The sequence below is a fragment of the Homo sapiens genome, chromosome 4 (assembly GCF_000001405.40).
Source record: "Homo sapiens chromosome 4, GRCh38.p14 Primary Assembly".
NCBI classification, from domain to species: Eukaryota; Metazoa; Chordata; class Mammalia; order Primates; family Hominidae; genus Homo; species Homo sapiens.
Window position 1 is genome coordinate 95829280 of NC_000004.12, and position 15992 is coordinate 95845271.

Below are 15992 nucleotides of genomic sequence, written 5' to 3' on the forward strand. Positions count from 1 at the left end.
AGTTAATGGGTGCAGCAAACCAACATGGCACATGTATACATATGTAACAAACCTGCACGTTGTGCACATGTACTCTAGAACTTAAAGTATAATTAAAAAAAAAAAAAAAAAAAGGAAAAAAAAAAAGAAATTCTCCCTTGGTTATTTTTTATAACAACTTTACTTCTATTTTTGTAATTATTCCCCCCTCATTCCTTCATCATTTTGTTTTAGATAACATTAATTTTAGAAGAATGCAGCTAAAATAATATTTTTGTACCTGTAAAACAGATGTGTCTTTCAATTTTTCATATTTTTATGTTCCTTAGTTGGAATTCTATGTTTCTTCATATAAGAACATTTCTCACTAAACATTTTCTAAGCTATCTTATTATGTTTGTTAATATTATAAAATGAATCCTTTCTCCCTTTGTATTCTTACCTGAATATTTATATTTATATATCTATTATGTTCTGTGTGCTCATTCCATGATTAACATTTAAATTTAGTTTTTGCAAAAACTGTTTAACGCTCATGTGTTTTCCAAGTGTAGCTTTTTAGAAGGATATGATTTCCAAGTATTAATGTGTTTCTTCTACTCCCAAACCAACAATTCACAGAACTCACCACCCACACTGTGAGAATTGAATCACCCCTGGGCAACCAAACAAAAACTAGAAATAATGAGACAGAAGGAGCAACATACATAGTTTCCCAGTTGCAGTGAATAGATCAACAATAGGCTGGCCTGAAAAGAGTGGTTCATTGGGGGATGGGAGATGTTGGACATGTAAGTGAGAAAGGAGAAGGAGTTTATCAGTACTTGGGGTTGGACAGACAACTTCTGGGTTTTGTCCATCCTTTCAGCTGTTCCACCTAAAAGAGGCTAGTGCCTTATCTAGATGGCAAATTTAGAAAGTAAAAATGGAATGCTTGGCTCAGGTCCTCTCTCTTCCTCTTGAGAATGAGCTTCCCACGCATGGCAGGACTTTCTCTCTGCTCTCCCCACTCACTGTTTCTACCCTCCTGGTCAAGCATTGCCTGTAACCAAGTAGGTATGTCCACTTAATCTTGGGTTAGCAAACGCGATTCTGCTTTCACACTAAGCTGTTCTTGAATGGAAACTACAGAACTCAGATGATATTTTATCTTTCACTTGTGAATCATTTACCTTATATGTCAGTTTTTTAGAGCCTAGGCAAAAAGTGGAATCTGATTGGGCCTCTCATAGACCTGCACAAGAATTCAATGTTCCTGAGGGCAGAGAACCAGTCTCGTTTAATACTCATTCTCCACACTACAACCATTAAGAGTGAGAACTCTGGACCCAAACTAAATTGATTCACAATCTGGCTACAGTATTTACAGCTCTGTCATGTGGGCTAAGTTAAATGTTTCAATAAACCACATTTTAACATAAAAGTGTGCTTGTGAGAATTAAATTAGATAACCGATGATAAAGTTTAGCACAGTATTATATGTTAAGCAATCAATAAAAGGTAGTGATTATTATTATGAAACATGAGACTATTGCTCCACAGTGCTATCAGGCCTTTCTCATAGAGTTCCTCTTTTGCCTCTAATTGATGCTGTGACATTGTGGTCTCCTTGGTTGGTCTTAAGCTGTGCCACAGGAGGGAAAATCATTCCTTACATGAATAGAAGTGTTCTCACTCTTTCCAAAGCCCTTCTAGCTAGTAGTGATAGGCAGAAGGCAGGAGTACAATCAACAAGGAAAGAAATCGCATCAAAAGAATGCTATGATTATAGCCTAAACTTCTCAAAAGAAGACATAGTTGGAAAATGTGTTGTTCTAAACTTATGCCGCAGATACCATAAAGGTAAGTTGAATGTGGCCAGAAGTTGAATTATCAGTTATTTTTCCCTGCAGACTATGGATAAAACTTGCATCTGTGGTCATCATCAATAAAGCACAGTAACAACCTTTGAGAAGCTAGTGTTCATGAGTGACAGAATGTAGTGACAGCATCATGTGCAACGATGTAACCAGAATTAATAAATTAGGGCGCTACAGAGTCAAAACAATCTAAATGGCTTCGGTGTAAACAGAATATTGCTCCACAACGTCATCACCACTGCTTTGTGGTTAATAACAAGTACTACCTCTTTCTTGAGGAAGTAGATATGAAATGAGATAGAAATGGTGCATTGGCAATAAAAAACAGGAAGAGATGGTTATTAGGCATGAACAAGGATGGACTGTTCCTGTTGATACTATCAAGAATCTTCACAAGCTCCAATTAGGCAACAAATGTGTTACCTCTTTTCTATTCATTATTCTAAATAATATTCAATATTCTAAATAATCTACCTCTTTTCTATTCATTATTCTAAATAATAAATTCTAAATAATCTAAATCGCTATACCCTATATGGACTCAAGAATTTTCTAATACAGCTTGAATCTCCACAAAAATATTTTTTCCAGTGCCCCACACCCCTAGGGGTGGCCTTCAATGCCAACATATTAAGTCAAATAAAAAGATGTGATATGACTATTTTCATTATTCTTGAATATATATTTGGTGAGTTTTAACACATTTGCTTAAAATGTAGTAAAAAGTCAAAAGTAGAAGATTTCATTGATGAAGAGTTTCAGTCTTAGAGCTAATTATTGATGAAACATTAGGAACTTAGGAGTTAGACAGATCTGAAGTCCAGTTTCTATCACTTGAGTCCAGTTTCTATCACTTGCTGGCTTTTGGTTCTTAAAAATACTGACTATTAAAGCATTTGTTTTCTTATCAGTAACAATAAGAAAGGCAATCTTATCCATGTCATCGGACTGTTGTGACGGTTAAGTAAAATATTGCTTGCAATACACTTAGCAAAGTGACTGGAAGATGGGAAGAAGTAAATAAATAATTGCCTATTAAAATCACCATCACCCAAGCTGAGAAACAGCTTAACAATATATAGTATTTTCATAAGGAAACCACACGATGTCAGTGTATATAATTCTGAGTAAGCTGAGAGATGCATATTCTTGGATAACAAAACTAAACATTGTAAAGACAGAATTCTCTCCACTTTATTTTACATGTTTAATTCTAATCCAAATTCCAAATTATTTTTTAATGTAATAAAATTACTCTGGTCTTCATAGGAAATATTGTACAGGCTATAAAATCTTAGAGGATTTTTAAAAAAGTGTAATGAGAAAGGGTTTGGACTATCAAATATATAATTACATGATGCTATAATAATCAGAACTGAGAAGTGCTCCCATAAGAATCAACTGACAGATAATAAAACGAACTCAGAAACAAAAGTTTTAGCTTATGAAGATGTAGACCTAGATATAGATACAAAGTGAGCATTTGAAAACAATAAAGATATGGACTACTCAATACATGAAAGTGAGAAGAATTTAGCAGACAAAATAAAACTGTAGTGTTATCTCTCTATATTATCCAATAACTCCAGATGTCTCAAAGACTAAAATCTTTAAAAAGAAAACAATAAGTAGTTATTTATAAGTACATGATTGTGTGCAAATAAAAGCATAAAGGAGAAGAGGTGGTATATTGAACACATTCAATGTTTTGTGTTAAAATATTACAAAGTAAATCTTAAAAATCAGTACTTTCACTAACAGTGCCTGGTGCATGGTATAAATTCAGTAATAATACAAGGGTTCAGTTGTAGGGGGACATTTTAGAGAGTTATGGTAAACTCATGTAATAGAGATTTTTTGTAACCATTAAAATGATCTTTGAAATGGCTTTTGGTAATTTTGAAAATAATTATAATATGATGCTAAGGAAAAAAACTCAAGAGTTATAAAACATATAACCTTGATTGTATTAGAAATAAAAAGATAAAAATAAATCAAAACTTAATAGCAGATAACTTTTGGTGATTTAATTTTTCTGTCTTTATGCTTTTCTGCATTTACAATATAGAATTTTTAAAGACACTGTAGTCAATATATATATATATATTTATTAAGTTTATAAACCAGAAATAGGTCTCTGATGATGAGAAACTTAAGATGAATAGATATTTTTATTTAAATGGGGAGAAGAGAGAAAACATTTCTTTTTGGAAATTTTCAAGTTTAAACAGCTACAGGGTTTTAACATACTTTTTCTGGTAGACTAGAGAGAATGAAGGAAGTTAATGTTGAAAATATAGTTAGCATCTCCTTACTGGTGAGAATTAAACCAATAAATCACATGAGTCCCTTTGGGTAATCATTTAAGCTGGCAAGAATAAAGCATACATCATTAAACTTTAGACCCCCACTTACTTTTTGGGTGGAGGTTGACATACAGGAAATGAAGTCTGGAGTACAAGCAGCATAAAAAAAATGATTTTAATTTTTAAGTTGGGATAAGGGAATATCCGTGGAAAAACACTAATGTAGTGAAGAGTTTCGAAGAGTGATAACACTGAAATTGTCATTAAATTTAACCAAGTCCTTGATGTGAGAAATTTCAGTTCATTGTTGACAACACAGATTGCAGAAGCATATGGAAGCAATTAGAAGAAAGTAAATGGAGACTGTGGGTGCAGGCTGCATATTTGTGGAGCTTGACTAGATAAAAGGAATAATATAGGATGAGATCTAAAAGAGGCAATGAGGAGTCTGATATCTTCTTTCAGAGCTGAGGAAATCTGAGCATGAAAGCAAGCCAAAGAAGAAGACAAAATTGATGATTCTTTGGTGGGGGTGTGGGAGTGGGGTGAATATGAGAACAGTATCTCATTATGAAGGAATAGCAAGTTCTGTAGCAAAGGCTGAGGAGTTAGATTTCCAGATAAGAATATGATTCCTCTTCTGCTGAGATTAGCAGGAAGGAAGTTCTGATAGATGTAAAAATTCTTCAGGAGACAGGCAGCTGGGGCAGGGGAGCAGTGTAGGGCATGCATGCAGGAAGCAATGGATCACAACAGAAGATTCTGGCTCTCCGTGAATCAGATGCATGAGCTGAGAACATGCCCAGTGTTTACTGGGCTTACTACCCTTGCTGAGTCCGTTTCTGCTCTGATCAGTGTCAGGATCCAATGCAGTCCATATGACTTTTCATATAATATGGAAAAGTTCCATATTATATGAAATTCCATGTTATATGAAACTTGGAAATTCCCTTGGAAAAGTTGTAATGCATTCTTATAAATACAGGTGATTTTTACCATGAAATGAACTGGGAAGAAAGCTAGATGAAAGTATAGAAAAGTTAAAAGCTTTTGGAGAAATACACCATAAATTTCAGTGGGATATTCAGGGTCCAGAAGATTGGAAGCAGCATGACCAGCTGGTAGCCCTGACAAGAGCTTGTTAAATTCCTAATGAACCCCAATAATCTTGTTGCCTGATTATGTTTTGATGAGTGCTTAAGATGTTTAAGCTTAAAAGCTCTTCTTGGACACTATTTTCATTTACCATTGGGCCTCTAAATTGAAATTGTCTCTAAGGCTCCCCGATAATGGCCTTTTAGATTTTCAGTGTTGGGTAATATGGAAATATCTTAGAATCTAAATGCACAGTGGGTCCATGGGAACAGAAAGATTCTCATGCATGAGAAGCTCCATAAAACATCTATAGCATTGTCTTAGGTTGCTTGGAGAAACTGCATTCATATTCATAATGTATTGTATAATTATGAGATCCTGATTTTCATATTTCCCAGTGTGCCTTTTCAGCTCTGCTGTATAACCAAATTAAAGGAGACTACACAACTTTACAAAATTAGAGTGTTCTGTTTTGTATATTGCTGTTTGACAGTACTTTATTTTTAATTTGTTCATCATTGATCCTAATAAAGACAAACTGTCATTTTAACCATTGCCTGGAATGTAATACATTAGTTTTATTGCATCTATAACAGCTGCTTATGTGTCTCTCCCTCTGTCTTTCAATGATGAGTTGTCCTTTTCTCTAGGCAGTGCCAGGAAATCTGGAAGAGCTCACAACACCTCTATATAAACTGGATTAAATAGAGGAAAATTTAATTGTATGTTATTATTGTACTTCTACTACTTAATACAGAAAGGGGATATATAAAAGAAAGGCACTTCATGCATACATGATGAATAAACGAAGAATAAATATTTTACTTTTTTAAATTAGCTTTGTATTTGCCTAATTCCTTGGCCTCAGTTTCCTCTTCCAGAAATTGGGAATGAGACACTAAACCATATGAGGGTCAAATGAGCAAACTGTATTTCCTGGAGATACAAACTTCCTTAACTTTGTATCTCTAGGAAAGAGATGCAAGTCTATTCTATCACATACCTGGGAAATATTTATGATGTTTTATATCTCAAATTAATGCATGTAATAATCGAAAAATTCATTCTCATTATTAAAAAAAATTATTTGCCAAGAAAAATGTGCTTATATGTCTGTACATATTCACAGGTATCTCCTATGAATCTATTTGGACAGAATCTATACAGGTCTAAGTTTACGATGTAATAGATAACACTGTGCCCTAGCTTAGATGTAAGACAGGGCAAAGAAAACTGAAGATGTGGTCAACAGTAGGTTCTTAAAGTGGGGTGCATGATTAGCAATCTTCCTCAAAGTCTGTTTCTCTCAAGATTTGTGTTTGTCAAATGTGCTGCTCAAACTTCCTTCTAGGGGGCAGCAGTGCCCTGGATTTTTGCCAATATTCCTTCCTCTCTCTTTAAACATCCGTCAGTGACTTAGGTCTTCTTCAAAGAGGCAAAGTCAAAGGAAATAGTCGTGGTAATTTTGTTATTACATGGGCATACTGATATTAGAAACAGTTAATATTCCACCAAAAGTCATTAGAAGGGTTGTGGGAGGGCATATATAAAGAAAACGTAATAACATGGTACAGTTAAGAGGAAACTAATATATTAAAACGACTGCACAGAGGAGAGAAGCCCTCATTGCAATATTGAATATATAGCATTCATTTTTACTAGCATATTTTGTGTATACTTTATTGCTAGTATAATAAAATCAAGGTTACTAGGGGTAAATGTATGTTTATTTGCAGAATAAAAATTTGAGACATGGGGTTTTAAGTATGTGAGAATTAAAATCTGCTAAGTACAAGATTTGCCCAAGAAGTGTAAAGATTTTAGGAGAACAGGCAAATAGATTTAACTCTGACTTGGACTTTCTTGAAACTGCTGTGATTTGTCAGGAATGTTTATTGAATTAATGATTTTTCCTTTGAATGGGGATTGTGGTTTTACAAAGCAACTCAAAATATTGAGCAGGAATCAGTTCAAAACTCTTGACTCATGTTCTAGTCCTCTACTGGTTGAGACACCAGACTGTAGTAAATCTTGACAACAGATTTTATACATAAAATTTTACTTCTTATGTCACTTGGCCATATTCAATTACAGCTCTAATTATAGAGAAGTTATTAAAATGTTCGCAAAGTTTTATTTTACAATTTTGCTTCATGATCTCTTTTATCATATATGTTAGACCCTCATCCCAAACTCTTGAAATAGTGGATTTAGCACTAGGAGCATGATGACTCAGATGACTCCGGTCATCTATCAGGAGAAAGATGGTGGTCCATCTGTTACACTAAAAATTAACCCACAATGTCTTCCTTTTTCTCACACCATCATTATCTGGGTAGGATGAGAAGCACTTCTACTTTACCTCTCATTTCTAATTAAGTCTTCTCTTTGAATTAATCTATCCTGGATTTTTATTTTAATCATATTTCAAATATAGTAAGATCATACAAGAAAAAATATTGTTTGCCCAAGCCTCTGAAGTGTTCTGGAATAGCTTTGCTTATTGTAATATTAGAGAGAAACTTTGCTTGATTGTCATCATTTTTCAAAATATATGGTACTGACATTGTGTCTTTTCTCCAACAGAGAAATTCTTCTCAGAGTTATATATATATAACTTGTAATTTTTGCACTAAGTTCTTACTCATCACTCTTAATTGCCAAATCTTAGAGCTATGAAAAAAATACACTGCCACTAATCATCTAATGAGATCTGATATTGCTTATCTAGAAAATATTCACTCTTTAACAGCTTTCTTCACCTAACATTTGGTGAAAAAGTGCAATAATTACTGAAGAAATGTAAATATCCTTCAAACATTCTCACTGTTCTTTTTCACATTTCCTTGTCTATTATTTAAAAAATATGTGTTATTGATGCCATGGGAGTGACACTTTTAAGATAAATTCAGAAATACCCCTGTAGGATCAACCATCAGACATGAAATGTGAAATGCTGTCACACTGGCATGAATGACTGCTACTATAATCACTGGCTCTTCTTTTATAGGGGTTTTTATTAATTAAATGTAAAGTCTGCCATTGGCCTTATAAGAGTGCTCATCTGTTTTCCTTTAATTTCAAGTAGATTAAAAGTGAGATTTGGTGTTAATTAAAAACTTAGAATTTATGGGGTTTCTAATTGCAAATAACATTTCTGTGGTGAGTACGTAGATGACTTCTTAGTTCTGTTTGGTAATCAACATAGTATTGAACAAGGACAGGACAAAAAATAAATCATTTGAAGAAAAGAACACCATCATTGGCTCTATTGTCCGTGAATAGCTTGAATCCTATCTAGCTGGGGGGCATGTAAGAGGAGAAGCTCAACAGCTCAGGATAAACATTTTACCCTGATGTCTGGAAATTTCATTCTTTCTTTGAAAAATGTAGATGGATTTGGAAGGATAGCAATAAAAGTCAAAAAGTCATTATCAAGATTAATCAGTTTAATTGAAATGCTTCAACATTGTTTGATTTCAGATGTCTATTTTTAAGTTGAATTTAGGATATATAGGGTAACTGATGACCAAGAGGTCTATGGGAGTTTCACATTTTATTATTTATTATCTTAACTAGATCCTGTTGAGAAATTTTTTTTTTTAAAGGACATCTTCTGTGGGAACCCGTAGTACAGATATTTTCCAATTAGCATCTTTGTATGTTCTCTTCTGGCATGAGTCGGGTTTAGGCTTGACACACTGGGCTTTTAAGGGGAGCTCTATCTTTGCAGTCCAGGCTACGTGTGACAAGATTAAATTGGCACACTTTACTGTACAGCTCTTGTGTTCCTGGCAGCACTGGCCTGGCTGATACCTCTGAGAGAAGGCTCAGCTGTCACTCACTGACCCATTAACACTACTGTTCTATCCTGCAGTGTCATTTTTCTCATTCTTATGGAGATAATGCTCCCTGGAGATCTCCAATACCTGGAGGAATGAAAGAGAACAGCAGAGACAGGCTAACTATCAAAGAGGGAGCAAACAACACAGCAAGACCATGAATTCCAACAGTTGAATTTTCAATTGAGTGAAAAGATGAGGCCTATTATGATGGCTGGGTTCAGAAGGTGGGGAGACGATCAAGTTTTAAGAGGTATCTTAACTTTTTAACAAGCTATTTTCTCTTTTCTTCCTGAATATTAAAAGAAGTGCCCAAAATAACACCTGCAACTAGATATAGAGAAGGCAGCTGCTTTGAACATGTAATAGGGACATTTGGGTAAGAATTTATCATTTGCAAATAGGCAATGGATATAAAACAGAGCATGCATTAAGGTGAATGGCTTAATATTCTAAATAAAACAGGATCCCTAGTTAGGGTTGGCTTATTGGGGCACAAAATCGCCTTCCTGGTAAAAGCACAAAAAGAGAGAAATGATATGTGATCTTTGTATCCCTTGGTCTAAGGCTTCTCTTCTCTTGTGATTGAACGGTTTCCAGTGGCATAAGCAAACTCTGTTGCTCTCTTGTAGTCCAAACTGTGTATTGTTTGGTGGGTCACTTTATAAGAAGTAACACTTTCTAATGGTTACTACATAAAAAGGCACTATAAGAACATGTTTCTAGATTTCCTGGACTAAGGCTGGTCCAGTTTGATTGATATGAAAGCAAAATAAATAAATAAATAAATAAATACCACCTGAAAGTCTATGGAAACCTGCTGAAGACATTTTTATAGAAAACCAAAAAGAAAAAAAAGAGGAAATAAACAAAAGGAAGAGCAAAAGTGAAGTAGTCAGAAAATAGGGATAAAACTAGGTAAAAACAGAGATTCAGAATTATTAAACAGAGTAAGGAAAAGTGGAATGTCACAAACTACAAACTTTTTACCACAATCTGCACCTCAACCCTCTCTCCCTGCTTCCAATTTTCCCACACCAAGCAAAGTTTATTACTGGGTTTAAAGTGTTATCCTCAGGCCGAGGTTTGTATACATTTTCCCTCCCCACTTCAAGTGTCACAGGTGCTAGACGCCATCAGGATAAATGTGGCATATTATTTGAGAGTACTGACTTTTCTTTAAAAGGGGTTTTTGTTAACGTGCGTGTGCTTGTTTTGTTTTTAAAGTTAATTAAGCTACAAATAATTTACAGCTTTGTTGTTACCTTAAAATACATATGGCACATTATGGAGCAGGATAAATATTCATACCTATTTTAAAGATCAAAAACAAGACATTAAAGAAATATTGGTAGGAAGAAATACCTTTGGACTAACTCTCAGAACTCTCATGTGCCTTAGGGACTGAGTTTGTTCCTTTCTTCTATTTGATACGCTTGTCGGGAAAGCTTGAGATACAGTGCTCCAGGGTTTAACAGGGAAAAGGGACTCAGATTATTGAGGTTCAGCAATGACGGCGATTAGGATGCCCTGTAGTTTGCCCAAGTCCTCCAGAAAAGGAAATCACTTTTAGTCTTCATTTTACAGCTGGCAGGCACTGTACAAATCAGTCAGCTCAGGCTGCGTGGCCCATGTCCCAGTGCTGTGCAGGACCTGCCTCTATCACCCGTGTGCACTGCCCGGATGGTGCCAAGCGCATTGGAGCACCGGAAGGAGACGCGGAGCCGAGGCCAGGCCTTCCGGCGGTCGTTACGGGACGCCGCTGCCATCTACAGCACTCCGTGAAGAATATGCTGGCCGCCTTCATCTCCCGCGTGTTGAGGCGAGTTGCCCAGAAATCAGCTCGCAGAGTGCTGGTGGCATCCCGTAACTCCTCAAATGACGCTACATTTGAAATTAAGAAATGTGATCTTTATCTGTTGGAAGAGGGTCCCCCTGTCACTACAGTGCTCACTAGGGCGGAGGGGCTTAAATACTACAGGATGATGCTGACTGTTCGCCGCATGGAATTGAAGGCAGATCAGCTGTACAAACAGAAATTCATTCGCGGTTTCTGTCACCTGTGCGATGGTCAGGAAGCTTGTTGCGTGGGCCTTGAGGCCGGCATAAACCCCTCGGATCACGTCATTACATCCTATAGGGCTCATGGTGTGTGCTATACTCGGGGACTTTCTGTCCGATCCATTCTCGCAGAGCTGACGGGAAGAAGAGGAGGTTGTGCTAAAGGAAAAGGAGGATCGATGCATATGTATACCAAGAACTTCTATGGGGGCAATGGCATCGTCGGTGCACAGGGCCCCCTGGGCGCTGGCATTGCTCTGGCCTGTAAATATAAAGGAAACGATGAGATCTGTTTGACTTTATATGGGGATGGCGCTGCGAATCAGGGGCAGATAGCCGAAGCTTTCAATATGGCAGCTTTATGGAAATTACCTTGTGTTTTCATCTGTGAGAATAACCTATATGGAATGGGAACATCTACTGAGAGAGCAGCAGCCAGCCCTGATTACTACAAGAGGGGCAATTTTATCCCTGGGCTAAAGGTCGATGGAATGGATGTTCTGTGTGTTCGTGAGGCAACAAAATTTGCAGCTAACTACTGTAGATCTGGAAAGGGGCCCATACTGATGGAGCTGCAAACCTACCGTTATCATGGACACAGTATGAGTGATCCTGGAGTCAGTTATCGTACACGAGAAGAAATTCAGGAAGTAAGAAGTAAGAGGGATCCTATAATAATTCTCCAAGATAGAATGGTAAACAGCAAGCTCGCCACTGTGGAAGAATTAAAGGAAATTGGGGCTGAGGTGAGGAAAGAAATTGATGATGCTGCCCAGTTTGCTACCACTGATCCTGAGCCACATTTGGAAGAATTAGGCCATCACATCTACAGCAGTGATTCATCTTTTGAAGTTCGTGGTGCAAATCCATGGATCAAGTTTAAGTCCGTCAGTTAAAGGGAGGCTACGTGTGAATTTATCATCAGTCTCTCAATGGAATGTTCATGGTCAAATTTAAGAAACTGTGTTCTCAACTCAAGGAGGAATAAAACTCATAAAACAAAAGCCTTGTAAGCATTTATTAAAAGAGATTATTAAAAGAGATTGAAAGACATGCATTCAATAAAAGTGATATTATATTCAATTATACTGTATATTTTTGCATTAAAAGATACTATATAGGTAACAATTTAGTGTGAATATCTTAAAGATTATTTTGAACTTATACAAGTCTAAAATAGGAAAAGGAGATTATTTAACTTCCCAAACTGTTTGTCATAACAGTTCCATTTGATTTAGCTTTATACTATTTTAATGCATTCTCTTCTTTAAAAGAAAGTTGTTTCCTGCTTCCCCTGCCATGGGTTTCTATGTAGAATCACCATCCTGAGGTAAGGAGATTATTTCAAGCTACTCAGGACACCTATGGATATGTAACCATTTACTTGAATTACCTAATAACGAATACAGTTTAGTGTAACAGTGTGCGCATGCGCACACCCACACACGTGGTGCTGAAGTTTGTTAACACTGACCGTTTTTCCAATAATATATGATATTTAACAGGGCAGGGGAGGAAGAACAAGGATTTTTTTTTTTCATATTATTGTATCTTGTTACAATATTTTTAGTCTTTTAACCCTTAAGGAAAAATATAGCAAAAATTAAAATCTAGGGGAAAAACTGCATTCCGCTTTAATCTTTAAGTTAAAGCTACTCTTATTTTGCAGTTCATTTATGCCCTTATATATTCTAAAATTTAATGGGCCATTCTGGTGAATTTCAGACTGAAAAATGAATAAACAGAGATGGTGATTCAAAGAGTTAAGCAGAGGAGGTGACATTAATAAAAAGTTGAAAGTAAAATCTACCTTGCTTCTTACTAGCTGTTAACCATGCGTTACTAATCACTACATGATCAACTATTTAGTATCTTTTAATGCAACAGAACATTCACAGATAACTTTTTCCAAAGGAACACACAACATGTCTTTTCTGCAGTCCAGCACCATGTCAATTATCAAGTCATGATTTGGTGAAAGCAGTTTTACATGGTTATATTCGACTACTTAAAATCCTGCTGAGCTTGGTGTTTGGTGTATGTTATTTTTCTGAGAGCAGAGATGATAATTTGCCTGTGATTTAAGAATAGTAGGTGGAACATACCAAAACAGTCAAAGGTTAACCCTTTTTCTTTACTGTACAGCATCTACTTCTACAAATAGAACCTAGATTCTAAGAAATAAGAAAACCAAAAGCTCAGAGGCCTGGGAGAAGATGAACATATGTACATATATATACAGGCTTAATCTCCGTATCTTCTCCCAAACAAGTTTAAACAGGTAAGATAACCTAACATTCCGAATTCGGAAAGCAAAGATAAACATTGTTTTGCTTATATGTAAGTGATATTACTAGCTAACATGTTTTGATTAGAACACCGCAGTTGTTCAGAGGTGCTTGGACTGGATTCCTACAATTAAAAACAAAAAAGGATTTTTCATACGACATTCAGAATAATAAGTACATCCTTCTAATGATAAAGAATTCTTTTTATTTTTACATACTGATATTTTCACATATTTGCAAGTGGAAGATAAGCTGCTCAATTAAGGCTATTTTACATATGCAATATACAGAAATAATTTTTAAAGTTTTTCAATAGATTCTTTTGATGACAGCAAAAATTAAGATACAAATAATTGATTAGAAATGAAACCATCCCTAAATCAAGATACATAGATATTGTACTTCACTTCAGGGAAATAATCCAAATTTTGTTGTTAGAGGAATAAAGCATGTTTGTCACAACACAATATATGTTATCAAATTCCATTAAAGAAGGAGGTTTTCAATGTTTTCTATATTAAACAATGTTCAGATTTCTTGCATACATTGAGTAATTATAATCATATCACTGGTTACGCACAATTCTGTAATCATGCAAAACAAAAAAAAGCAACCGAAAAATTCAAACATGTTGTTTTCAATTAGGTCAAGATTTATTGCTTGACTAATGATAGCAATAATTTATCAAGCTGTAAACAAGAGAGGTGTAGAAATCTAGCAATTGGATTCTATTTCTTGTCTATAGTACTGGGTTACTCAATCTGTTTTATCCTCACGTTAAAATACCTACTAAGTTATGATAGTCATAATAAGAATTTCACTGCTGCAGCAAAGCTAGACTATCTGCGAAAAGGAAGAGTTCCTAATTTCTTAATCTTTATGATATGTTATAATGATAAAATATCATGTAGTGTGTGTGGAATGGAATAAGAAAGAAAGGAGCTTAAAGATTTATAAAGGGTATACTAGATTAGAATTACATTTTTTAAAAAAAAAATGGACATGTCTTCCCATCTAGTGTACAAAAACCAGAGCATATGGTTACAAAAATTTAACTTGAAATTTTGTAAGAGCTATGTTTTAAAAATTGAAACATAATTTTATAATTGAAATATAATTTTTACATATGCAATATACAGAAATAATTTTTAAAGTTTCACCCTTCTAAAAGTGCACAAGTCAATGATTTTAGTACATACACAAGACTATGCAATCACCACTGTCTAATTCTAGAATATTTTTATAATTCCCATTTTCAGTCAATCCTATTTCCCCTGGCAACTACTAATCTACTTTTTGTCTCTAGATTTGCCTATTCTGGACATTTCATATAAGCCACACAATATGTTGGTCCTATATGACTGGCTGCTATCCCTTAGCTTAATGTTTTCATGTTTCGTCCATGCTGTAGCATGTATCAGTACTTTAGTCTTTTTATGGCTGAATAACATTTCCATTTTATTTATCCACAAGTTATTGAAGATTTAGAATTTTTTTTCTACTTTTTGACTATTATGAATAAAGTGTTGCTGAGAAAAAATTCAATCACAAAGACAATAACAATTTTCAATGTATTGGCTAATGCAAACAATATCCCTTACGATGCAATCCCTTTTGATTATAAACAAATAATGATGAAGAAAAGTGTTAAAATACTTTAAGCCTGATATTTATCAACTTACATAATCTATTGCTCCAGTTGGATTTAGAATTACAATTTTAGATTTGCATAAAATTTGAGAACAGTATGCAGATGTACCACATGCCCTGCACCCAATTTCCCTTTTATTAACATTTTATATTAGTTTGTGGCAAGGAAAGAGTAAATTCAGCAGGCTTGAGTTACTCAAAGCCTGCACATTTAAGGAAAGACCTCTTTTCACACTCCTGGGAGATAATCTCTGAACACCTTGGAATATTCTACCTGATATGAATGTTTTTGTGAGCCTCAGGCCTTGGGCCATACTATGCCAATATGACCAGATTAGCTTATCTTAATGATGTGTCCCTCTTTTACTCCATTGAGAAGATATACCTGGAAACTTCTGCCTGCTTTCTCTTGAACTTCTCTTCATGTGTCTTTTTCCTTTCCTAATTTTAATTTGTATCCTTTCACTGTAATAAACCATAAGAAAAAACAATCCAGTTTTTTTAATTATACAGAATAAGAAGCTATATATAAAAGAGGAGGTCCAGAGATATTAAGTGGCTAATTCAGGTTCACATAGTAAGTGATAGTGATAGCTATTGTTATCAGTCCATTCTCATGCTGCTATAAGGACATACCCGAGACTGGGTAATTTATAAAGGAAAGTTTAGTTGACTCAGAGTTCAGCATGGCTGAGGAGGCCTTGGGAAACTTAACAATCATGGCGGAAGGGGAAGCAAACACATCCTTCTTCACAAGGTGGCAAGAAAAAGAATGGGAGCAGAGTGAAGGGGGAAGCCCCTTATAAAACCATCAGATCTCCTGAGAACTTACTTACTATCATGAGAATAGCATGGGGGAAGCCACCCCCATGATTCAATTACTTTCCACCAGGTCCATCCCATGACATATGG

At 35.3% G+C, this 15992-nt stretch overlaps 1 protein-coding gene across 1 annotated transcript, besides 3 other annotated features; it reads left to right on the plus strand.

The window, feature by feature from the left end:
• Positions 8873–9475: an enhancer, noted in NCBI's record as "OCT4-NANOG hESC enhancer chr4:96759303-96759905 (GRCh37/hg19 assembly coordinates)". NCBI's record gives its function as "activates a minimal SCP1, AML or CMV promoter by ChIP-STARR-seq in primed H9 embryonic stem cells {active_cell/tissue: H9 hESC(primed)}" and the evidence as "EXISTENCE:reporter gene assay evidence [ECO:0000049][PMID:30033119]".
• Positions 10331–10832: an enhancer, noted in NCBI's record as "H3K4me1 hESC enhancer chr4:96760761-96761262 (GRCh37/hg19 assembly coordinates)". NCBI's record gives its function as "activates a minimal SCP1, AML or CMV promoter by ChIP-STARR-seq in primed H9 embryonic stem cells {active_cell/tissue: H9 hESC(primed)}" and the evidence as "EXISTENCE:reporter gene assay evidence [ECO:0000049][PMID:30033119]".
• PDHA2 (pyruvate dehydrogenase E1 subunit alpha 2) lies at positions 10814–12185 on the plus strand. The gene has a single exon (NM_005390.5). It carries the CDS (start codon positions 10872–10874, stop codon positions 12036–12038), a length of 1167 nt encoding a protein of 388 aa, NP_005381.1. The 5' UTR covers positions 10814–10871; the 3' UTR covers positions 12039–12185.
• Positions 10833–11332: an enhancer, noted in NCBI's record as "H3K4me1 hESC enhancer chr4:96761263-96761762 (GRCh37/hg19 assembly coordinates)". NCBI's record gives its function as "activates a minimal SCP1, AML or CMV promoter by ChIP-STARR-seq in primed H9 embryonic stem cells {active_cell/tissue: H9 hESC(primed)}" and the evidence as "EXISTENCE:reporter gene assay evidence [ECO:0000049][PMID:30033119]".
• Positions 12186–15992: the final 3807 nt, after the last annotated feature.